Source organism: Homo sapiens, chromosome 10, assembly GCF_000001405.40.
Source record: "Homo sapiens chromosome 10, GRCh38.p14 Primary Assembly".
Taxonomy (NCBI): domain Eukaryota; kingdom Metazoa; phylum Chordata; class Mammalia; order Primates; family Hominidae; genus Homo; species Homo sapiens.
The window spans coordinates 113,347,937-113,374,146 of NC_000010.11; the positions used below are offsets into that span (position 1 = coordinate 113,347,937).

General features: G+C 43.8%; 1 pseudogene, besides 2 other annotated features; it reads left to right on the forward strand.

Moving 5' to 3' along the window:
- Positions 4,505–5,704: an enhancer, noted in NCBI's record as "CDK7 strongly-dependent group 2 enhancer chr10:115112200-115113399 (GRCh37/hg19 assembly coordinates)". NCBI's record gives its function as "activates an origin of replication core promoter dependent on BRD2, BRD4, P300/CBP, MED14 and CDK7 cofactors, with strong dependence on CDK7, by STARR-seq in HCT116 cells {active_cell/tissue: HCT116}" and the evidence as "EXISTENCE:reporter gene assay evidence [ECO:0000049][PMID:35650434]".
- RNU7-165P (RNA, U7 small nuclear 165 pseudogene) lies at positions 5,489–5,548 on the forward strand (annotated as a pseudogene).
- Positions 10,454–11,218: an enhancer, noted in NCBI's record as "H3K27ac hESC enhancer chr10:115118149-115118913 (GRCh37/hg19 assembly coordinates)". NCBI's record gives its function as "activates a minimal SCP1, AML or CMV promoter by ChIP-STARR-seq in naive H9 embryonic stem cells {active_cell/tissue: H9 hESC(naive)}" and the evidence as "EXISTENCE:reporter gene assay evidence [ECO:0000049][PMID:30033119]".

Genomic DNA, 26,210 nt, shown 5'->3' on the forward strand with positions numbered 1-26,210 from the left:
GAGGTTACCCAATCTTCCCAAGGTCCCAGAGCTTGTGAGGGGTGGAACTAGGACTTGACCGTAGATCAGCGGTCAGCAAAGGGTCAGACAGTAAGCATGTTAGGCTTGGTGGGCTGATTGGTCTCTGTCATAGGAACTCAACTCTGCCACTGTGGCGCAGAAACAGTGCCACACAATATGTAAACAAATGGGCAGGGCTATGTCTCAATCAAACTTTGTTTATAGGCATTGCAATTTGAATTTCATATAATGTGCATGGGTCACAACATATGACTACTCTCTTGATTTTCTAAAATCACTTAAGATTATAAAAACCATTCTCAGCTCCCAGGTCACACAAACATAGGTGGTGTACTGGATTTGGCCCATGGGCCATAGTTTGCCAATTCCTGACCTAGGCTGTCATTTCTAGAGCTCATGGCCTTCACTGCCAAGTATTATCATCCCCTTTTACAGATGAGGAAACCGAGCTCAAGCAGAGATAGTAAGGAGAGGGTGATCCAAACGCAGGCATTTGGACTCCAGGGTCTGGAGTTTACCTCCAAATAATGGCAAGAGAATGAGGGGTTGCTCTACCTGCTTTTTTGAAGAAAAATGAGATCATGAAGATCCGATGAGATCATGCACCTGACACGCATAAAAAATGCACGTGATAGTTTTTTTAAATGTATAAAAGCTCTTATAAACTGTACAATATAAGCAACTGAGATTAGGCTAGCTTCTAAAAACAAATCTCCTAGTGGAAAGTGTGTTAATAGTTTTTATTTATTTTACAAACATTTATTTAGTACCTAGTTTATGCCGAGTATACTGGGCTCTAGTAGCTATGAAGATGGTGGGTAAGAGAACTTAGTTTAGTGGGAGAAGAGGGACATTCTTGTAGATGACTAGGACCCAGATGGTTAACTGCTACCAGGAATGGGGTGCTGGTGATAGACCCACAGTTGGGGACACAAGGGAAGGTGCACTGAGGGGTGCCATGCATGGATGCTGGGAGTTTCGAGGTAAAGGGAGAAAAGACTTTCAGGCCGAGGGAGGATCCTGTGCAAAGGCACGGAGGCATGAAAGATCAACGTGGCTGTAGTGTAAGAGGTCAGGGACGGAGGCATGAAAGATCAGCGTGGCTGTAGTGTAAGAGGTCAGGGTATGAGTGGTAGAAATGAGGGTAGGAGGAAGGTAAGGTGGCTGAACAAGGAACTTATGGTCAATGCTAAGGCCCTAGACCTGATCCCTTGGGAGCCAGGATGTGTACTGGGAGTACTCAAAACTAGGAGGTATACTAAGGAGAGCCCAATGCCATAAAATAAAGATGAGGCTGCTTTCCCTGAGCATTCATTTTAATTAAAGATTAGATTGAAATAGTTGTTTTTAAGTGAAAGTAAACAAGAATATATTGAATATAATGCAAAGTCCCTATTAAAATTAGCTATAAAGGGAGGCCGAGGTGGGCAGATCACGAGGTCAGGAGATCGAGACCATCCTGGCTAACACGGTGAAATCCCATCTCCACTAAAAATATGAAAAATTAGCCAGGCGTGGTAGCAGGTGCCTGTAGTCCCAGCTACTCAGGAGGCTGAGGCAGGAAAATGGTGTGAACCTGGGAGGCGGAGCTTGTAGTGAGCCAAGATCGCTCCACTGCACTCCAGCCTGGGTGACAGAGCAAGACTCCGTCTCAAAAAATAAAAATAAAAATAAAAATAAATAAAATTAGATATGAAGCATGAGATTTCAAATAGATTCAAAATAGACCACTTTAGGTCCCACCCCACACCTCCACAACCTTCCTGTTAGAGAGGATAAGGTGGAAAGTCCTGAGAGGCAAGTGTTGGGGGATCAGAAGACACTGAAAGTTAACAGGATAGTGACATAATTGGATTTGTGTTGTAGGGTTATAATGCTTGTGGTGGCTAGGAGGAAAACTGGGAAGGGAGATATCATGGGCTTGGAGATCAGTTAGGAAGCTCCCAGAAACTCGGGAAGGAGCGGGACTGAATAGCCTATTATAGGAGGAGTTTGATTTTGTCACTAAGTGTACGTTCTTGTTCCATCAAGAAACAATGAAAAGAGAAAGAATTTGCTTGGGAGTCAAAAGACCAAGATTCGAACCCCTGATTTTGACTGGCTGTGTGACCTGGGGTAATGCACTCAGTCTCTCTGAACTTCATTTTATCTTCCCAATGAGAAGAACTATACCTCTCTTGCCTACTTCTGAGAGCCTTTGTTCGGATCGTCTAAGATAATATCTATGAGAGCTCTTCGTAAAGGGCTTGAACATCACTGGTGAGTTTCTAGGTAACAAAAGGCCAGAGCTCTTTCTGCTTGGTGACCTCTCCAAGAAAAGGCAATTGCTATTTTTTCCCCCTTCTTCAGCTGTTGGAGTTGCGGATCAATTGCAACCAGGCTAAACAAAAAAAGGTAGTCATACATGATCAGCAAAATGGTCCAAATGATGTCATCCATCAAGATAGACATCGCAATTTGCCAACTATTTTCTCGTAAATCAAACCATTGTCCCTCAAGGAAGAGGGGCAGGGCTGGAGGAGCCAGCATGGCAGCCCTTATCAGCAGACCAGACGCAGGGAAGCGCTCCCTTAAGGATACAGTAATTATTTTCACTTGATGGGAAATAAAGAGGGGCACCATGGGAGGGAGCGCTGGAGAGTGTCTGCCTCACTTCATTACTACTCCCCAGGCATAGGACACAACATATGCTTTTCATTGGGAAGCCAATAATTTTGAATCGTGGGACAGGTGAAAACTTAAATGACATTTGCAAACCTTGATTTATTTCTCTGCTTAACTCTGGAACATGCTTTAGACTCAGCTCTATAAGTTTCCATAGATTAGTGGTCAATGTCAAGTATTTTCAATGACATACTCAAGCGTTTCCTGTCCCTATCAGTTAATTAAATATTTTCAGTACTAATCTCTTCTTATTGAAATGGTTTCCCTTCTTTTGGTTATGGGTTTGGAAAACAACGATATGAAGCATGTGCTTTATTGAAAACAAAATAACAAAAATAAAAAAGAATACTTTTTCCCCCACGTGCTATTTTACTCGCTGGAAATCTCATTAAAAGTTATTTATGAGCTGTTAGGGATCCCATAAGGATTACACCTAATTCAGTCTGTAAAGCTTTTGAGTTTCTTTTACATGAAGGACCTCCTTCCCCATTATTCTACTTTCGTTTGCACCCAAATAAATACTGGAGATTAACTTTTTGGCAGAAGAGGGTCCTCAGTCCCTAACCTCACATCACCCAGGCAAAGTTTAGACCTTCCTCCCCTTTCTGCTGGACCCACTCTGATATGACCAGGGTAAGAGGTCAAACTTGTGGCAATGGATAAATTATCATTTTTATTATTTTAAATGTTTACTGAAGATAGAGGGGCCGTAGGTATCATTTACCTCCCTGGGATTTGTAATCTTTGCGATTAGCCATGTAGTTAGTCCTAATTGACTATCTGATTTTCTTCTACACCTCCTCCCCCAATTCCCTCTGAAATAAGAAAACTGAATTTTATCAGAATGAGTAATTTCACAGTTCCTTTATAGGGCCTGTATGCCTGTTATTTGCTGTTTCTTAGAACTTGTTCTCAGGTAGCAAAGACTGAACTGCTAATGTAAGTGACTTTTGTCCTTCTAGTCTCTTTAATAAAATATTCCCCATACAAATGTGTTTAATTTCCAAAGTATCTGCTTTGTATTCATATTTCCAAAACACGGAGAAGAATGTAGTCACTCAAGTAGCCAAATATTCAAAATTAGATTTTGGCAGTTAGAAAATTGGCATAAACATTTAGAAGTAGCCGGGTGCGGTGGCTCACGCGTGTAATCCCAGCACTTTGGGAGGCCGAGACGGGCGGATCACGAGGTCAGGAGATCGAGACCATCCTGGCTAACACGGTGAAACCTCGTCTCTACTAAAAATACAAAAAAATTAGCAGGGTGTGGTAGAGGGCGCCTGTAGAGGCTGAGGCAGGAGAATGGCGTGAACCTGGGAGGCGGAGCTTGCAGTGAGCTGAGATCGCGCCACTTGCACTCCAGCCTGGGCGACAGAGCAAGACTCCGCCTAAAAAAAAAAAAAAAAAAAAAAAATTAGAAGTAATAAGGACATCGTTACCGTTAACTATCAGATGCCTGATATACTCATGGAACTATTCCCTATTGTTATGATTACCAGTGTGCCTGCTCTCTTTTCTACGAAAAAACCTGGGCCTGTGGATTGCTCATTCCTCTCCAGCTGTCTGCATATTCTTCATATGCCAGCTCATCTCTCCAACGGAAACACAAGGCACCAGCAATACCATGTCCACGCTAAACCAGCAAGACACATTGAGTATAAGCCTGGACTATCATGCTGGCCACCATGAGGATAGGCAGCAGTGGTGTCTTCACGGCCTATAAAATCTTTCCATCTTGGATCTCAAAGCATTTACAACTATGAGACTGAAACCCCTGCCTCTACCTCTCCATTTGGGCAAGAGTTGGTGCTACCGAAAGAAGACGAATGGCTGCATATTTTAGGAAAGCGTATGTTTTTTCCTTAATCTCAACCATCTGGAGATTTTTAACATTCCATATTCTTTACAGAATTCTACATAAGAGGTCAGTTTAATTTTTTAAGAGTTGTTTAAACATCCCAAGTAACACTGTAAGCCCCCAAACAAGAAACGGCTCTCGGGCTAGACCAGGGAAAAGCACATGGATTGTTCGTGTTTAGTCTAGTACGGTGGATCTCCTCCTTGGCTGCACCTGAAAGAAAGTGACGGCTGAGTCTCACTGACCTGTCTTCCCCATCCCAGCGTCGTTGTTTGGTTTTGTCTCATTTTGTCTTTAGGATCTACAGATGAGGCTAATGTGGCAGCAGGGCTCAAGAACCACCAGATGAGAACTATCTGTGTTTGATGATAAGGGCAGGCTTGGATGTTACCCTCTCAGTATTCTCAGTGCTCTTCCCTGCTAGAATTAGAAACAGAGGCTGGGAGCAGAGGCTCACACCTGTATCCCAGTGCTTTGGGAGAGTGAGGCAGGAGGATTGCTTGAGGACAGGTGTTCAAGTCCAGCTGGGGCAACATAGCCAGACTTCCATCTCTACAAAAAATTTTTAAAAATTAGCCTGTATTCCCAGCTACTTGGCAGGGTGAGGCAGGAGAATTGCTTGAGCCTGGGAGTTTCGGGCTACAGTGAGCTGTGATCGTACTGCTGCACTGCAGCCTGGGCAACAGAGCAAGATCCCAGCTCTCAAAAAAAAAGTAACAGAAGAAACCTACGGACTCTGACTCAGAGTTGTTGCTCATTCAGCCCTGGTCATGGATTGAACAGTGTCCCCTGCCTCTCCTGAGAAAAAAAGAGTCCTCTTCTCCAGTACCTGTGAATGTGGCCTTATTTGGAAATAGGGTTCTCGCAGTTGATCAAGCTAAGATGAGGTCATTAGGGTGGGCCCTAATCCAAAGTAATTGTGTTCTTATAATAAGGACAAATTATCTGTGTTACAGTTCGTTTTGAATTTGTCTAGCAGGTTTTCTGGTTTTTACCAGAACTTAATCCTGATACCCCTCAAAAAGGGGCACATTTTGACACAGAGACAGACACGCATACTGGGAAAATGCTGTATGAAGCTGAAGGCAGAGATTGGGGTGATGCTTCTGCAAATGAAGAAACCCCAAAGATTGCCACCAAACCACCAGAAGCTAAGAGGGAGGCATGGAACAGATTCTCCCTCACAGCCCTCAGAAGGAACCACCCTGCCGACACCTTGACTTCGGACTTTTAAACTCCAGAACAGTGAGACTGTAAGTTTCGGTGTTTAAACCACCCGGTTTGTGTACTTTGTTATGGCAGCCCCAGGAAACTGATACACCTGGTGATTCAATTCACTGCACTTTCAAGGCCCAGGCAGTTGAAGCCTAGGAGATGAGGCCTCACCCTTGACCATATGCAGTCCACCTTAAAGAGTGGCAAAGTGAGGACTGCAAGCTGGTGGTGGCATTTGATCTGAGCTTTGGAGGAGGAGTGTTTTTTTGATGAGTGAAGGGAAGCAAAGATATGGAAGTAAAGGTATTGCAAAGGGAGGGGCTACCTCTGCAGCAAGTCAGGGGGTCTGATGGAAGGCAAGAAGAGCAGCCACTGCCTTGGAATCAGCAACAAATCTTGTACCCTGAGACTGTGTGTGTGTGCATGTGTACGTGTGTGTTGTGTGTGTTGTGTATTTTGTGTGTGTGTGTGTGTGCATAACACAGATTACTTCAACTTGGGAACTTGTCTGACCGATCCAATTTCTCTTCCACAGACTCAAACTCACTGCTCCAAGCACTATCCTAAGTCACTTGGCCCCCAAGTGTGTGTGTGTGTTGGGGGTTGGGAGTTGGGCCAAATTGAAAATAACAAAAATAATGTGAACACCCATAGAAAGCATATTCTGAATGAAGCACTCTGTTAAATCACATTTGCTCCTACGATGACCCAGTGGATCTTGGAGGCTATTCTTATCCCCATTTAACAGATGAGAAAAAGATAAAGCTCTAAAAATGGAGTCAGAGCTCCATGGTTCGATCCTACGTGTTTACCGCTACGCTGTATCGCTCCCTAGCTTATGCCTGGGGATTACTCCTGGGGAGGGGTGTGTGAAGGGAGATGGAGAGATGAAGACTGACTTAAACCAAATGCACACCTTTGCTTGACTGATGCAGAGATACGGGGGTTAGAGCAACCTGGGAGGCTCCATGCCTGTGTGGGCGCACAGCTGCCTGCTGACTGTTTCCAGTCCCCCTTCTGACGGTTCCCCATAGGCTGGAGAAATCCACTCAAAGCAGGGTGTGCTCTCCGATGGAAATCCAGCCTTGTTCTTCCACTCAAGTACTATAGGGGAAAGCAGAGAAGGGAAGGGAAAGACACATAGAAAGTTTCAGCATATGAGTAGCATTTGCAATGTAATCTATGTGTTCTGAGCCAAGTTACTGTACACACTCTGGGGAGAATTAAAAATAAATGACGAAACATTTTGAAACATGGCTTATACCTAATTAATCATGGAACTTAAGGAACAAAGAATGCATTTCTTCAAAATTTTCAGCATTTTCTCTATTAAGTGGAGGAGGTGGGGGAGGGGAGGGAAAATCTCCATGCCCTGTAATGGATACACTGTGCACTTCATTTGGGGGAAAGAATCTCTTAATCTTCTTTGGCCTCCTGCAACCTCTGAATCCTTACATCTTTAATACTTCATGTTGAGCATTTTCATATTAAAGGAACTGAAAGTTTCCAGATCATGAAATATTCCTTAGCTTTTTGTCTCTTGATCCCTTAGCCTAAACAATACCGGTTTTGGAGATTATGAGATCACCAGGCATTTCTTAAGTACCCATGATATTGTGCCCTGGGATTCCCGTGTCCTTTTTCTATGCCGCCGCCACCCAGAGACATCTGTGGGCACGTCCCGCTTTGAAGGCAAAGCTTTTGTACTATGTCCATGTTACTCCACATGCCCTCCGACTCAGGAGCCTTGATTTCCTCATTTGTAAAATGGGGATAATAATAGATAGCTCATTGATTTAATGTGAATGTTAAATAAAATAATGACACAAAAGAACTTAGCCTAGTGCCTAGAACATAACCACTCAATAATGGAGTGTGTGACTGAATTTTCCGAATTCGTTTTTCATTCTCTTCCTATCCATGGATTTGACTGAGTCCCATCTTGCAAGGCCATCCAAGGCACTTCTTTAGAGCCCTGTCTCACCAGTAACAGAGGTGGGAGTCAAAGATGACTTTGCACTTAGTAGCCAATGTCTTCACTGCTCCTATGGGAAGCCAGAGTTTTACTCTTTCCCCTGAATTTTCCCACAGTCATTCCATGAGCTAGTTATGGACACAACTTAAGGGGAACTGGAGATGTGTGTGTGTGTTCATTCCAAACAGTGTCACTGATTGACAGCATGGCTTTGGATAAGCTGATCAGGTTGCTTTGATGCAGATTCTCCACCCCCACCCCACACCTTTGTTGAAAAAGAACCAAAAAATAATACATACTGTATTAAATTATTAAAGGGGTTGTAAGTAAAACCTGAAGCCTGAACTCCTTCCTTCCCCAGTCCCATGTAAAGATTGAGAAGGAAGAAGATACTGGAGTCTGGGGTTCAGTGGTAGGACTCAAGTGCCAATGGAGGTGGTGCCAGGGGCAGCATCATAACTGGATTGTGCCCAAGGTCTGGTGTCAGCTATGTTCTTTGCCCTCTAACCTCCCTTGGTTCCAGCTCATTTTTCATCTCAGCTCTCCAGCATTTCTTCAGACTCTGTAAGCTGCCCACATCTTCCCTATATATTCCTTTTCTGCTTAACTGTCACTGTTACTTTGCTTGCAAACAAAAACCTAGACTGAGAAAAAAAAAATAAGATCTTCTCAGCACCTACTGTGAGCCAACTACTTTGCAGGTTGAGGAACTGAGACACGGAGAGTTAAGGTGACGTGCCTAGGTCACCAAACCTGTTAGAGGTGGTACTGTGATCTGAACCCCCATCTGTCTACATTTCCATTGGGTTTTCTCAGCAAAAAGATACTCTTGAAAAGTAAACCTCCAGTCCATAACCACCCACATCTGCATTGAACTTGCCTCATAGCTAGGGCCTTTGGAGGGTTATAGTTGCGACCCAGACACATTTTCTTCCCCCACTCCCGCCTTAACTTGGTGATTGGCTGTTGTAAATTGCATCGAAAGTGATACGCCTTTCAGTGCTGAGAACCATCATGGGTCTGTGCCTATGATGTAAGGGGGAAAGGGATCCAAACAGTCGAGCAACATGAGTTTGTGTCTTTTGTAACAACTGTGCATTGCTTGTGTGTGCTGCTAATTATTCCTGATTCACATGCCCTCAGTTGATGCTTTTGGAAATTAAATGGGCATGCCTTGTATGGTGTGGAGAGAGAGGCTTGCTCATTTTCTCTCCTTTCACACACTGCCCTTATGCCTGCTGTTGCTCCAACAAGTGGCATCATCCTTAGTTCCTGACATCCCAACATGGGCAGTCAGATGTTGCTGTCTGCTTTCAGAATTACAAACCCACCCACTTGTACTTCTTTGCAGGAGTGAGGTAGCTTGCCAAAGAACGGGAAGTCACCAGAGTGAACATCGTGGAGCCATTGACACCATGTTCTGTTTCTTAACCAAGGAGGAGGCTAGCCACTCTCTGGGCACCTAACTTGCAACAGCTCCCCTGGAGATAGACCCACATAAAACCATTTTATTCTTGACATCACTCCAGCATTTCTGCAGAGCATCAGTCTGGACAGAACTTGGTATTCTTGCTTCTTTTCCACTGACTTTTTAAGAAGCCAGTTATTGAAGATCCAGGGTAATAAAAGCAGCTTGAACTTCATTACCCTCTCTCCAGCATTAGATACTGAAGGCCACGGTGAGTGATACTGTGTATAAAATACGAAGCAGAGAATTAAATGCAACTTGATGGTACATGTTGTACCTTAATGAAAACAAAGGCTCAGGAACACTATTTGTGAACGTGTTACCCAATAAAGTGTTAGCAATGGAGCTCATAAAGCTGCCAGCCAGATTTAACCATTGTGTGGAGCTCTGTTCAGTTGGGCTGGGCAGAGAGAGTGAGGTCTGTTCCCTTTATCACAGTCACTGGAGGTTTTTATTTAAAACACATGGAAGAAAGACACTTGGGTTTGGCACCAAAATGTCTTGTGGTAAAGGAAAAAAAATTAGAAATATCCAAAAGTACTTAAAAAAAAACTAGGGGGAAAAAAAAACATATGTGAAGAAATTAAGATGGGCTGACATAGGGTGCCGCGTTAGCCGTTTAAAGTGATGGCGAAAGCAGAGAGCAACGGGCTTTCTCCACGGCAGCTGATAGACACGAGCAATTGAGCAGTTCATACCCTCTCTGTTGTCCCTGTCACAAGATTTGTAGGTCATTCTCAGCCAGCCATGGGGGCTAAAGGGCACAGGTTGCGACCTGCTGATTTACCAAAGTATGATCAACTCACACAAATTATAGGCGTAAGAGAGGCCTGACAACTTCAATATGATGCGCAATGAGCACAATTATTTGTGACATGTGAAACCAGTGTGAGACCGTAATTCTGTCACTGCATGACAAGGCATTATTAGCCGGGGCAGGCAGCGGCTTGAACCAGGAGCAGCTGGAGGAGAGGCAGGGAAAGAGAGAGGGCTCCATAGGGGAAGGCCCGTGACGGGCTTTCTCTCCCAGAGTGGCAAATAGCAATGGCCCCTTTGTGGAATGTGGAGCCGCTCAGGAGGATGAAGTCGCCCTATTGCTATCTGGTCTGTTGGATAATAAAGGAGCGTTTGGTGGGAAGGGCAGAGGGGAAAGCACACCCTGTGGGCCTGGGGCTGTGCACAACCAAGGTGTCTTCGTTGAAATCGGGCGTGGTATTTTTCATGAGGCCAACTGAGGTGTTGTTTCTAGTGGGCCAGATGAGGTGGAGTCAGGAGGACAGGGAAGGACAGAGTTTCTCTTGCTGAGCAAATGCCTCTGCTCCACCAGGCTTCCCTCCTGTCACGTCCTGCCTGGAACGTGCAGTCTGACTGCTGAGTGCAGGAGGAGGCAGAACTCAGGTCCCCTGGGTTTTCCCCTGTCCTTAGAGATCTTGCTCCCTGTACCATAGTGGCTGGGCAGCTCAAGGAAAGTGCAGGTATACACTTCCCTTCTGGTGATGGCCATAGATGTTTCTGCCTAAGGGTATAGGACAGGTGGGTGGCTGTTCCCAGCAACTGGACCCAAGTAAGGCAGAGCTTCCTCAGGCTGAGCATGGAAGTCATGGGACAGCTGGGCTGCCAACGAAGCTTTCTGCAAAGGGAGAATCTGGCCCGTGTTCTGCAGGGTCTCCTGCGGAGGGTAGCAGCTACATTTTGGGCCTTCCTGGCTCAGTGACTTTAAGCCTTGTGTTGAGTAGTGGATGGCCCTGTGACATGCCTTCATACGGTCAATCAGTGTTCCCTGAGCACCTACTGGGCATCAACCACTGCCCAAACCACAGAGGATCTGAATGCGAAATGCCTCTGTCTGCCTATGAGAGCTCTCTGTCAATGAGGGAAGATAAGACAAAAACAAATAATTAGAATACGTTATGTGAACAGGTGCATGCATAGGAGTCATGGCTGTACAGGGAAGGCATGGCTGACTTTCTCATATCATTCAAGTGTCTATTCAAATACCCCGTGCAGAAAGGGCCATTTTGACCACACCATCTAAAATAGGTCTTCTCCCTCTCAGCCTTTACCTCCCTACTCTTCTTCACTTTCATTGAATTTCTGAAGGCCTGAACCAAGAGCATGTAAACCAAGCATAATTAGCAGCACATACAAATAATACAGGGTGGCTACACAGAGACTGTTGTCAGCAGAAGTCAGTACTTGACATTATATTATTTTTTTTGATTATTTATTATTCCTCTTATTGCAACGTAAGCTTCAAGAGGGTGGGGACTTTGCCCTGCTCCCCTCAGAATCCCAATTGCCTCTGCAGTGGTGTCCATAAAGTACTTGCTCAATAAACATGTGTTGAATACAGGAATGGCAAACTTTGTTTTAGGTGTTCTTGCTTTTACATACATTGACCCGTTAAATCTTCCCAGCAACCTGAGGCAAGTCGGTTATCTATTGTTGCATAACAAATCATCCCAGAGACTAAGGCTTAAAATAACAGTATTTATTATTTCTTACAATTCTGTGGTTTGGCTGGGATTCAGCTGGGCCAGTTCTTCTGCTGGTCTTGCTTAGGGTCTTTCATGAGGCTGCATTTAGTTTAGAGTTTGGTCAAGCCTTGATGTTCAAATGGTCATTCATCCTCAGGGCATCTGATCATTCATTAGTCTAGGCTGGACTTCCTTAAAGCCTGGGCTCCAAGGGAGAAGAAGCAGAAGCTTAAGGCCTGGGCTCAGAAGTCTGAGAATGTCACTTCCTCCCCATTCTATTGGCCTGAACAAGTCCTGAGGCCAGCCCACATTTAAGGAGAGGGTAATAAGTAGACTCCTCCAAAATTAAAGCAAGGAGTGGTGTTCATGAAGAGAGATGGGGAATTATTGGCAGCTGTACCTGGAGACTGTCTACTATACACTTGATCTTAGTCAAAGGGCCAAGAAGCAATAGGACTCTCTACTATATTATAATTAACCTTGCTTCACAGTGGAGAAACTAAGACTTCAAGGGATAAAGAAAAGTGCCCAAGAGCACAGAAGAAACGAGTGGCAGAACTAGGATGTCAATTTCAGAACAGTCTAATTCCAAATTCAATGTTCTTTGCTTACTGATGACTGTTCTTAATAGCTCTTCTTGAATCTCACATGGTAGACTGATAGCCCCCATGGCCACCCCTCTGCTTTTTTACTTTCTTAGCATAGTGGCCAGCGTTTAGGGAAGGATAGAATATTACAGACCCAGAATTTCTTCCAGCCTCCACAACTAATTAACTGTATAAGTTTCTGAACCATTCTGAGTGTTTCTTCCTTTTCTGTGAAATGGGATAGTAAAGATACCTGCCACACAAGATTTGGGGGAGGCTTTAATGAGACAATATAAGTAAGGTACTCTGTACAATGCAGGCACCTGAGTTTTAAGGTGCCACATGTGTCTCCAGCTGAACCCAAAACGAGCCTTCACAGACGAGTTTTGTAATTATATCGGGTCATTGAGCACACACCCACATTTAATTTTAATCCAAAGATATGCTCTGATATCAGCAAGACTGCTTCTAAGGAACTGGCTTGGTCTAGGATATGGTCATCACACTCACTGCTGTGAGACTCTGTCTAGTTGTCCTGACTTCCTGTACCTATAGAGAATGTTTCACCAAAAAAGGGGATGAACAGAAATATATGTAGCTCTGATGGTGGGATTTAAGATAGGTATAAATCTAAGTATCAGAAAGCTAGAGGGATAAAATGAATAAATATCCCCTGAGGACAACTTGTGCCTCATCCTGGGTGCCCGGGATTAGTCAAGACTCTTTTGGTTATTAGAGATGACATGCCAACACTGATTCCAGCCAGCTTAAGCAAAAGGGGGGAATTAATGGTCGGGCATGGCTGGACTCAGGGGCTTATACAGCGTTGTCAGAAATCACTCATCACCATTGCTCAGTTCTGCTTCTCTAGTGCCCTCTGTTGTAGCCAGGCTTTTTCCTGGGCAGCCTTTGATTTGCCTCTAGTTCTATGACCCAAATAGTAGCTTCCTTCTCTTCCTATTTCACATATATACACCGAATTATAATTGGCTGAGGTTGAGTCAGATGTGCTTCTTGACCAATCACAGAGTCCTAGAAAGTGGAATCTGTTTGGCTAGCCTATGTCAGGACTCACAAAGTAGAATCTAATTGCCTAGTTTGTGTCAGGGCTCGCAAAGTGAAATCTAATTGACTTGGCTGTCAGGGCCCCCTCCGTGGCCCAGGGGCAGGACTTCCGTGATTAGTCCCCCTGTGGATGAAGGGACAGCTCTGCCGAGGAAGTGGGGGGTACACTTAGCAAGTTGTCTTGAAGGCAGTTCCAATGTAGCTAAGCTCTAGATTTACCAACATCTCTGGGAAAAGACATTTGTAAGTGTGAACACAGTCCATGTAGCTGCTCCTCCGTGGTTTGGGTGAAGGGCATTTTCCTATTGATAATCCCTTTGTGCCCCACTTGCTATGTTTATTTATGGATATTTATTTTCCTACCAGTTGAAGGAAGTACTAAAAATAGGGGTATAACCATCAACCAAAGTTCCCAGCTTCTAATTTAACAGCCAAATGTCACAACATTTATTTTGCATCCCCTGGATTAACCAGCTCACTTAGTAAGCCAACGTTTGTGAAAAAGATTATATTTCTTTTATTTGTTCCCAAATGTTGCCATTGTATACAAAAATGAGACAGTGTTCCTTTTGGGGAGAAGTTTCTACTTTGGGTTTAAACCAAACAAAATAATATTTAAGGCAACATTAAATAAATTATTTATCATGTTGGTCAACGTTTTGGGGAATATAGCTTAGATAAACATATTTTTAAGGTCAGCCACTCTAAGGGCTGGGTTTTATAAAAACAACCTCTGAGGAGCTTTAATAAATCTTTTAAAAAGAAAAAAAAAGTCAAGCACTTGTTTTCATTGCTGAATCATTTCTATTGCTAAATAATGGCCATTCAAGAGGTAAGCTTCGCCAGGAGGTCCTGATAGCCACACTGAGAAACTCACATATTATGAAAAATCTGGGTGATGGCAGGCATTGTTGGCCATGCTTAGATTTCTGTTAAAGCAACCCAGTCCTTTGGTTGCATTTTAAATCAGATCAATGGACAGAGCTATCTGATTTGGGTCATAAAACTGTCAAATGAAGATAAATTCATTCCTAGTCAATGGGAGACTTCAGAGTAGAAGTAGAATATATGTAAGTAAGAAATAATGTATTTCTATTCCCTCAAAATAAACAGGATTACCAGATTCATTGAGTGCATTTAATTCACCTCCTGGGTCTTCCATCTCTTCAAATTACAGCCAAAGGCATCTTTTGGACTCATTTCAATAGAAGTGGTATTCCTAATGGTATTCCTCAGTCAAAGAGGGGTATGGGGAGGAAAGAAAGTTTGGATTAGAAGAAATGGAAATGGAAGGAGAGGGCCAAAGAGACCAGTAAGAAAGGGAGAGCACCAGGAGGAGAGGAGAGGCAGAAACAGGACATGGAGAAAACCCACCTTCGCAGGGACTGGGGAGAGACCAGCTTTGAGGCACTGCTCACTGTGGCTCTGGTTTCATTTTTGGAGTGGTTAGTAATCTGCCTGAAACTTGATGGGCTCACATGACCAGTTCTTATCTATGCAAAGAGGCAGTTTCCCTGGTTCTGGTCCCAGTTCCCCATGGTTTTGAAAGGAGAGCTGGGGTGGGGAATGAGCCCAGAGATTCTGAGTCTTGTCTCTTCCAAGGGTGGAGCCTGCAGCAGAATTTCATGGTTTCAAAAAAGAAGATTATTTCTGTTTATAAGTGAGAAGGAATGTCACTAAGGAGTTGAAGAAGTTGAGGTTTCATTACCATAAATTGCCTTAGGGCTTGAATGTTCAGGAGAAGAGAGCCTGACTAACCACATCTGGGGCTTGAGGTTTTTTTGAACTGGTAATAAAAATAATCTCTGCAAAATATTTTGAAAATATTTGATAAACACAAGACTGAGGCTGCTGCCTACATACATGAATTTTTTTTAAAAAAATGTTTGAATTCAGATTAGCAACCTGTTAGCAACCAGCCAGTACTTGGGTTATACACAAAAGGGAATGTAGAAATGCAGGTTTCAGAGCAATGTGATACTGAGTCCAAATCCCAGCTCTGTCATTTATTAGTGGTATAACCATGGACATTCTACTTCACTTCTTTGTGCCTCAGTGTTGTCGTCCATAAAATGGAAATAAGTGCTCTTTCAAAGAGTATCCATGGGAAATGAACAAGGCAAATTGTATGGAAATTATATTATAACAGAAAATTATATAAACTATATAAATTATAATAGAGAACAAAAATGGCACTAATACTTCTGTTCTCCCCATCTACTTACTTTCCTTTGATGTTGCAGATACCTCATTAAGAGGTAGAGTCGATGTCCCCATCTCTCGAATCTTGGTTAACTATGTGATTTGCGGCATTAGCAAATGCAAAGCAAGCAGAGATTTGAAAATTGCTTGTCCATTTGAACTTTCTCTCTCTTGCTGGGCTTGGAACACTGAGTTGTATGCAGATGAGCCTCAACTAGCCTACTGGAGGATGATAGCCAAGTCCCCTGCTGATACCCTGTCACCTACCAGTTATGTAGAGAGGCCATTCCAGATCACCCAGCCACTGGCCCACCTATCAACTGACTACTGTGGCATGAGAGGGACCAGCAACAGAGATTAGCTTAACCAGCTTAGAGCAAAGACCACCCAGCCAACACACAGCATTGAGAGCTAAATTTAAAAGTAATTGTTTTAAGCCACAAAGTTGTGGGGTGGTTTGCTATACAGCAAAAGTAAATTCATCAGGTGGCATCCACCCTGTTATCCCCCTTGTTGATTGGATCAACCAGTCATTTAAATAGGATTTTAAACTCATTTTTGTTCAAAGTGATTTTTTTTTTTCTGTAGAGACAGCCTAGGGGATGGCAAGCCTTCTAGTAGCTATTTTGTACAGTCATGTGGCTTAAAATAAGTTGCAAAAGACAAGGAGATTTAAGACATCAATAATTTTTTTCTGAAACTATTTTAAAGTTGTTCCTTCCATCATATTTAAAAAGTTTAGCATCGACATTCTCAAAGCTGGAATAATGTGCAAAGTGAATACCATGTGCTAAAGCTCACTGAGGTTCGATCGTAAGATCAGTTGAAATAGAAAGTAGCTCTGAAACAGTTCTGGAATCCTTAACCCAGGGAACCAACTGGAACTAAAGGAAATGAAATGGAACTAAAAGGGATGAAACTGAATAGGAGGAAGGCCAGTGCCTGGGAGCTCATCTGCATTCTCTGGTGGGAGAAGCAAGCTTTGCCAACTTCCCAACTGTAGAGGAGATAAAAGAGTTTATGGACCAAAGCAAAATGAAGGCTTATCCAGATAATTTAGGCCAACAGCACACCCCCACCTGAATTCACCAGTGAACTGCAGACAAAGTGTGTCTGACGGCTTGTGTTATCTGGATGGCTGTCTTGTTCTTCCACTGTCCTTTGAGTATGTCTGCCCTTTTGCATTCTGATTTCCTTTTATTGTCCACATTGTTTTAATCCAGGTTGCTGTTCTATGAGATTTTCGTGGTAGGGTGCTTGGGTAAGTTCTGGAAGCAAACTTTTGGCCTGAAGAGTACAAAGCATTTATTTATTTATTTATTATGTATTTATTATTCAATTGTTAAGTGCTAGAGACTTTGCTAGGCTTTAAGGATGCAACAGAACCAAAAGAGACAAAATAGCTAGTCTTGCAGCTTAAGTCTGGTGGGGAAAAAGGTTTATAACAAAGTAGGTATAATAATGTGAGAAGTGCTGTGATTGGGGAAGTACAAGGAATTGTTGGAGAATGTAGGATGAGCACCTAACAATGACTTGGTTTAAGTGGCCAAGAAGCACATCACAAAGGAAGTGGTTCCTAAGATGAAAGACAAAGAACAAGTAGCAGGTAATGTGAAGAGGTAAAGGAGAGAGTATTATGAAGCCTAGCCTGAGAGGGTATTGGGGAACTGCAATATTGATATGGCCAAATGCTTGAATGAGCATCAAGTTGTCAGTGGAAACACAGTACCACTGACTGGAAGAATGGTAAACACCAAAACCATGGCCAAATCATGGACATGACCTGCTTGTTAATTCCATCCCAGAATCATGGTTAATTTCAGGTAGTGCGCTGATTGATGCTTTTGACAGTTGCACTCTGTGGCCAGAGAAGATGCAGTGGGAACATGTTAGTAGATTGTTAGTTTTCTGAATGAGGATCATCAAGTCAACGTAAGTACACATCCCTGAAGGTTAAGGCAGACCCTGTAGCACCCTCCTCCTACTTCTCTCCAATTAATATTCAAAAGTAGGGTGAGGCCCAGAATTCAAAGAAATATGACTGTCATGAAGTGGGACTCCAAGAGATTTAAATTTTAAAATTCCTTGTAAAAAATGTAGGCTACTGACCAGAAGCACAGGTTCCCGGTGTGAAGCACAGGTGAAAAGACCCCTGCATTAGTTACTGGTCCTGTATAGCAAATCATCTCAAAACTCAGTAGCTTAAAACAGCAAACATATATTATCTTACAGTTTCTATGGGTCAGGAATCTGGCTGCAGCTTAGCTAGACATCTCTGGGATTGTGGCCTCTCATGAAGTTGGAGTCAAAGTGTCAGCCAGGGCTGCACTCTCATCTGAAGGGCTGACTGGGGAGGATCTGCTTCTAAGCTCACTCATGGGGTTGTCGACTGGATTCAGTTTCTCCTGGCCCTTGGATTGAATGCCTCCATTTCTTGCTGGGTATCAGACAGAAGCCTCTCTCAGTTTTAGCCACGTGGATCTCTCCATAGGGCACCTGATAACCTGGCAACTGGCTTCTCTTAGGGCTAGCTTTGCAGTGACAAAAAGCACCCAAGATGGAAGCCACGGTCTTTTTATAACTGCATTTTAAGAGTGAAATCTCGTCACTTCTGCTCTATTCTATTTGTTAGGGACAAGTCAGTAAATTCAGTCCACACTCAAGAAGAGAGATTTACACAAAGGGCATGAATACCAGGAGGCTGGGATCATTGGACGCCATCTTAGAGGTTGCCTATGACATTCTCCAAACAAAGCAATGATTGTGTATGTTCTTCCTTTTGAATATGCCAGAGTGTTTTATCCTAAATGGGTCTCAGGATTAGAGGGAACCAGAAAGGTCATCTAATTCAATTCACATTTAATAATATGTCCCATACTCTCTGTGCCAACTCAGCTTGAAGGCCTCCATAGAGTTCTCCCTGGTTAGGAAAGTCTTCCTTGTTGCAAGCTGAAATGTGGCCAAAGGGCCCTGTGCTTTGCTTGATCAAAAATTTCCATATCCCTCCCCTTTCTCCCAAAGACAATGAGGTATTTAACTAGAAACACATTTTGTTTCTTTGTTCATATGTCTACTTTCTCTTTTTGCTTCTCCTTCTACTAATTTTAGGAGATTGATTTTCTATCCTATCCTGATACAGTCTCTTATTAGTTCTAATTGTTTGTGGATTCTTTTGGAGTTTTTAATGTGGGCAATCATAAAATCATAACATCTGGAAATTACAATTTGTCTCTTCTATTCCATTCCATGGACCTCACTTCTTTTTCTTGTCTTTGGCATAAGCCAGGATCTCCAGAGCTGTGTTGAGTAGAAGTGGACATCTTTGTCTACTTTGTAACTTTCCTCTAACTTCTTACCGTCTTAGTAACAGACTCTTTGCTCATGAAAGACCCAACTATCACTTCCTTTAGGATTGCTAATGAAAGGAATCAAGAAATTTTTTAGCCCGTTCAGGCTGCTATAACAAAATACCACAAACTGGGTAGATTTTAAACAACAGAAATTTATTTGTCAGAGTTCTGGAGGCTAGAAAATCCAGGATAAAGGTGTTGGCAGATTCAGTATCTGGTGAGGACCTGTGTTCTGGGTCAGAGATGACACCTAGCTGTGACTTCACGTGGTGGAAGGGGCAAAGGGCCTCGCTCCAGCCTCTTTTATAAGGGTGCTAATCCCATTCATGAGGGCTCCACCCTCATGACCTAATCACCTCCCCAAGGCCCTGCCTCCTAACACCATCACATTGTGGGTTAGTATTTCAATATATAAATTTGTGGGAGATGGGGAACATAAATATTCAGTCCATTGTAAAAAGGCTGGAAACTTAGTCGTGTTTTGTTTTTTTTGGACACCCATGGAACATGGAACATTATCTTCATTCAATTCAAGCTTGAGCTCCTTTTCTATGCCATGTGCTGTCCAGGTGCCGGGTTGGGGGCTCTTGAAAAAGAGTTCGCAGTCTTCCCAGGAGAGGTGATGACACAACCTCATCATCTTCATTATCGCAGGAAGCGTGGGCAAGACCCAGGGGCGTAGGAAGGTGGGAGAAGCTATGTCTTCAAGGAGAGTCAGAGAAAGCTTCCCAAGAAGGTGCCCTTTGAGGTGGCTCCTGCAGCGGGAGGTGGAAGCCTTGATTCTCTTTCAGGGGTTCTTTGGCTGATCAGCTCTTTTTTCCTCGCCCACTTGGAATTGCTACTGCATCCAGTGTGACTTAGGTCTATGAAGTCCTGCAAAAAAAACCACAAGCCAATCCAGGTCTCCTTTCCTTTTCTTTCTTTCTTGTGTGTGCATGTGTATGTGTGTGCGTGTGTGTGTGATAAAATGAGGTGGGAAGTGTGGACACATATGAAACCTCATTAAATGGTGGGTATCGAATGGAGAAACATCTCCTTTTCATTTATATTTAATATGTCCATGGGCTATTGTCACACAAGATCTTCCAGTCGAACCTTCTGGATAAGTTAAGTCTTGGGCAAAGTTGATTTGACTTTTTTCACACAGCCAGTAAAAAGCTTAACACAAAGGTATGTGGGAAGAAAGAGACATGAGATGTGGTGCTGGTGGATCTCATCCCAAGATGGGCACCCAGTCATCCTCTATTTTCTTTATATTGCCTCAGAGCAAATGGTAGCAACTGATGTTTATTAAACACTTACTTGGTGCCAGATGCTGTCCTACACGTTTTATATGTGTTACTCATTCTTCAAATAACCCTTTGAGGTAGGTGCTATTATCAGCTCCATTGTGAAGTTAAGGATGAGGGAAGGGGAGGGGGTTTGAACCCAGGTGCCGTAATTCCAAAAAGGTAGGTGCCCCAAGTACTGCACCAGAACACTGTTGGATAGGCCACAATGCCTGTGGCTGGTTTCATGGGCTTTTGATGGGCTTGCCAAGATCTTGTTTCCCCAGTGGGATGTTGGCATGCCACACCTGCAGACTATGAATTGTGTGTAGCTCCCATGTTCCCCTGAGGCTACGCTTATGTGACTATCTAGGTAGAGTTGACTCAACTTGGTCTTTCCTCCATCTACTGAAGAGCACAGGAAGTTTCTCCCTCTGACTGTGGTTCTTTCTGAAACCGTCCTTGGCTCTCATGCAAAACCAAGAAAAAGAAATTCATTTTCATTATTGGGAAGAGAGTCATCCACTCTCACCTCCTTCCCAGGGAGTCCTTGTAAAAGTCATCCACCCTCACTGGACAGGGCAGAAATGGCTCCTCTCCTCCATCTCTGCTGGAGTTTTTCCTGCCCTCTTCTCCATTGGGCCATGCTGAGTATCTGGACCCTACCTGACATGCAGAGTAGAGTAGTCCCCTAGGATTTTCATCTGACCTTCCCCAGAGGTGCTGTTCCTCCCTCTGCTCCATCTCCAATCACACATATCAGGCCTGCCTGGCCCATGTCCTCCCAGTCCCCAGAGCACGCCCCTCGGGATGGGCAGGCCTGGAGGGCTGCACTCCCTCCTCTTTACAATGCAAAATTAACATTTGCCTTTTAAGCCACGAGAACTTTCTTCCCAGGTTTACTTTTGAATGAAATGTAGTTAGGGCTTAATTATTTGCCCATTTCACATCACTGATCCTGCTTTACAACTGCTACAGCAACCAGAAAGGTGGGCTGGAGTTGGGAGTGAGATGAGATTGTACAATTTGGAAAGAGTTCCGATATGTTTAGAAACCACTGACAGAGAACAACTGTTTCTACCCAGGAAATTCAACTCTCTGCCAGGAAAGTAGAACAGAACAGTGGATATATGGAAGGGAGAGTGAGATAAAGCAAGGAGGACTGCAATTAACATTCAAATGAACGTTGGACGAAGCCATACTGAAAACTTTGGCATCTGGTAGATTTCAAGCTCAAAGATTAAAATCTCTAAGTTAGGAGAGCAATTTCTGGTTTTCCAACGAGTACCTCTAGGTAATAATTTTCAGGGAAAGGTAGCTTATAACACTGAACGTAATATTAACATCGCAGGCTGCTTGCCCAAACTTATTTTATTTTCATTTGCATTATTGGCTTGAAAACTCCCCTGAGTCCCCGATCCATATCATGTTGGCACATGTTCTCGCAGAAACTGAAATGCTGAGCCAGCATTTTACTCTCACTGTTTTACTTGACTTGGGAGAGGCCCAAGGAAATCTAGGTTGCTACAGGAAGAGTGATAAAACTCTCAGCCCTACTACTCAACAGATTATGCCCCCAGGGGGCATGTGGTGGGCTGGATACTTTTCAGCTGAAACCCAAGAGCAATGTTTGTTCAAAAGTCTCCATGATATATCTATATTTATTTATGTTTTGCAAGAGAATTGCGGGGAGGAGTCAGTTATAATCATGTACCAATTTGGATAATTGCTGATGGGGTCCCTCTACTAGTGATAGAGATATCTATGGGTATAATATTTTTCAACCACATTTACAGTTGTGATTTATTTTCATTCTCACCAGATGGTAAACCAGGTAAGCAATCTTGCATGCCTATTTCACGCAGGTGGAAACCAAGGGACTTGCCCTTAAGTGGCAGAACTAGATGGGGAAGGACAAGACAGGGTTCTGAACTCTCTGACCTTCACTTCTATATTCAATTCTACTTCCTTCTTACTCTGAATATCCTATACCAGGAAAGAAAAAGCCATCTGTGTGATCTCCCAAGGAAAGATCCCAATCAGTATCAGCCGTTCTAGTCTATTGCCCTCCAACAAGGCTGGAACGTATGAGAAAAGCTTCCCTCTCTGAATTCACTCCAGCCCAGAAGGGCGCCTTAGAGCCTCCTGAGAGGCAGCCACCATGTACTGCTTTACAACAGAACATGGCCAAGGAGTGTCCACCGGACCCCAGAATCCTCTAGGCAGACCCAACCTCTAGCTCATTCCTCACTGCAGGAGACATTTAATTTCTGGTTACATGCAGGACCTTGAATTATTATTATTTTTTTAATGGGAAATTATCTTCTTCCTCCATCTGCCATGATGTGAAATTTTGGCAAGAGTGTAAGGTCTGGTACCCACTTTCCACATGGAACCTGAGGGGTTGGGCTCCTTCCTCTGGCTACTCTTTCATGCAAGCAGGCCAGGCAGAAGGGTGATCAGTTTCTCTCTCCTGGTGCCTTGAATCTCGACTGCACCAGCCTGTGTTATCTACTGTGTTTCCTGCTTCCCGCTTCAGGCTTCCTACTTCCTAATCCTCTGGCTGGCTTCATGGAAGAGGGAGGTGGTGTTGGAACCTGGAGGATGGAAGGCTTTCTGGGTGGTTGGAATGGCCTGAATAGAGGTATGGAGTTGGTTCGGAGTACCATCTATGTATTGGAAAGGAGTAGGAGATAAAGTTGATGCATCAGATTGGTATCTGTGTTTGAAAGGTCTCAAATGGAAAGTCAAGGGTTTGGAAAGAACAGCACGGGGAGGATGAGCACCTGCACAGTCAACCCTGTAGGGGACGACTGTATCCTATTCCATTCCTCTCGCCCCCTGAGACACTTCCCAGCACACTTTCCTCCTTGGTGAGCTCTGAGAACCAGGTTGAGGCTCCTTAGATGACCACTGCATTTCTGGTTAAAAGAATAGACTAGACCTTCCCATTTCCACAATGGGAGGCCAGGGAAACCTTTGCAATTACTGTTGAATATGGTCACCCGATGAGCTCTCTACATTAGCACTATCTATTCTCTTTCCACCCTCAAAAGCTGGTGACCAGCTCCTGCTAATTCTACCCTGCAAATATTGCTCATAATTGTTATCCCTCCCTAAGGCATGAACTCGATCAGCCCTCATCATATCGTTCTTGGAGTGGTGTCCTAGGCATCTAATTGACTTTCTGGTGACAGCTGTACTGCGTCTCCCATAATGTACTCAAGATCCATCCATTGCAATCCACCACAGAGATTGCTCTAGACCTCAATCCCATGACACATGCAATATCCTTCATGTCTGACCACTGTGTTTGAGATAAATCTGGCCTCCTGAATTTGGCATGGAAAACCTGTTGTGATTTCATGACCTGAGATCACTCCTGTTTCCCTATTCTTTCTTCTTCACAATGTCTCCCTGTCTTCTATGCTCTCTGCCTTTGCAGTTGCACGTTTCCATGATTTCACACATGTTGTTTATTCTCCCTGTAATGCCCCCTTTCAGTCTTAGGTTATACCTAAAAACATGGTCTTATCTTGCCAGACTCTGGTTAAATGTCATGGTGGGCACAATGCTTAGCATATAATCGTTGCTCATTGTCTAATTGGATCTCTGCAAAACCTTTCTGACCTCCCTTTGTCCCCAGTAACTCCTTTCTTTGGGTTTCTGGAGTTCTTTGCATGGATATGCCCCTACTATAGCATGTCTTATATTGTCTTATAACCTCCGATTCCCTCATTACACAGTAGGTTACCTGAATGTATAGGTGTAGTGTGTGTGCGGGCATGCATGTATGCACATGTGTGTGTGTGTGCATACATCCCCCCGCCCCCCACCTTGCATCCCTTCCTCTGTCCTAATAGCATTTTCTTCCAGGAATTCTCACTCCTTCTGAAGAACCCTCTGCAGGCATTTTATCTTACTGCCCAGTAGAGCCAAGCAATGGTGGACCTAAGTTTGGCTAGCTGGGCCCTCGCCTCTGAATCCTGACTGAATGGCAGAATGAACAAATGGTTGGTGCTCCTTCTTTACAGTAGCAATGCCCAGATGAGAAGATCAAGGGGTTCCTGCCACAGAGACCTTATATCTGGTTCCTATCCATCCCTAGCTGGGTTCTGTGGCTTTCCTCTCCCCCACTGTGTACCTCAAATCCTTCCAGTAGATTCATTTTTTTTGTTGCTAAGTTCATCAGTGTTCGTTTCTGTTGCTTGCAACCAAAACGGCTACTAATGTGATGGGATGAAGAAGTTAGGGTATCTTCTCTGAGATTCTGAATCTCTGTGATTGCTGGTAATGCAAGGATAGGAAAATTCTTTCTTTCTTGAACAAGAAACAGAAATCCATTCTAACTGGCTCAAGGAAATGGGGGTGGGGTGGAGGGGGTGTAAAGATACAGAGTCTTCATGGGAATCTAGAAAAAGTTGAACTATTAGGTTTGAAGTAGGAAAGGAATGAAGGGCCTCCTCTCTCTCTCTCCACTCCTGCTTCCCATTCTTTTCTGTGCCATTACTGATGTTCTGTTCTATTATCTCTCTCTCTATTGGAGATTCTGTTTCATGCAAGCCCATGTAGAGGTGCTGTCAGTGCCTTGCACAAATGCCGTCAACACTCATCACTTCTGGGCACAATAGTTCATGGCTTAACTGCCAATACTTGTGACTCTTTGCTGAGGGCTTTCTTACAGGGCAGGCCAGTAGTGCTAGGGAACTAACACCCCTTCAAGCAGTTCTCGACCAACAACTGATAGCAGTTAAAGGATAAATACCCCAACTCCCTCACCCCTTGGCCAAGATAACTCTGAAGCACATGTTCTGCTTTGACTCTCAGAGTTCCCCAGCAAGGCTACCCCACAGTGAAAATGTGTTTCATTGGCTCCTACCCTGTCCTGTCCCACTTTCCCATTTCCTAATCAGTATTTTCTGGGACCACCTCCCAAATAGACTCAAGGTTCTACTTCCGTGGGAATACACTAAAATAGACCATTATGCCCCTAGCCTGGTATTGACATAACCATGCAACTCTAGCACCCATAGCTCACTAGCAGTTTCATTCTGTCTCACTTTGTTCATATCCCCAACAGAAAGATTGGCTAAGCACATCTCTTTAAGTCATGCTCAGAGGGGGCCATGGATGGTCACCCCAGGTCAAATGACCACACCGGTCCATCTTAACCAAGAGGAGAGGGTCATAAGGACAGCTGCTCAGGTATGGGTAGGTAGGCACCTTGAGACTCAACTGGGCTACTCACCTTTCAGGGAACAATCACACAGGTGGTTGCATGGGAAACTCAAAAGGAAAGACTGTTTATTGGACATCAAATTATTATTTTCAAACAATACTTTGATAGTTTAAGTACAGAAGACTAAGAAACACATGGATTAAATTGCCATTGAAATACACACTCGCGTTTGAAAACCAGCAGAATATGTGCTTGGTAAGGGATTTTTTTCTCCTTTTCTTTTTGCCAAGCCACCAGATTATTTGGATAATAACTCAGGAATTTTTCACAGCTCTGGAGGTTTTACTCCTACACCCTCCATCCCTTTGCTTCAGTTTTCCCTCACACAGAGTTAATTAATAAAAGCAACATTTATCAAGGACATCAAGTCATTCTGTATGTGTGTCATAGGGTGTTGCGGGTGGCTGTGATAATCTGCAAGACGGATCCATTTCAGGGAGATCTGAAAGACTCTAACACTCATTGCACACCTACTGTGTGTTGGGCACATTGTGCTGAGCATTTAATATGATCATTTAAGCCCTGGGAGGCCCCTACCAGGTGGGCGCTGTCACTGTTCTTCATTTACAGATTAGAAATTGATATTTAGGGTTAGAGGTATATTTCCCAGGTATGGACAGCTAGTAAGTGGCAGAACTTACATTTGAACTCTCTCCTTCTGTCTTCAGAAACCACTGAGTGAGGGCAGGGCATGGTGGCTCATCCCTGTAATCCCAGCACTTGGGGAAGCTGAGGTGGGACAATTGCTTGAGGCCAGGAGTTCAAGACCAACCTGGCCAACATAGTGAGATCTCATCTCTCTCTAAAAAAGAAATCAGTGG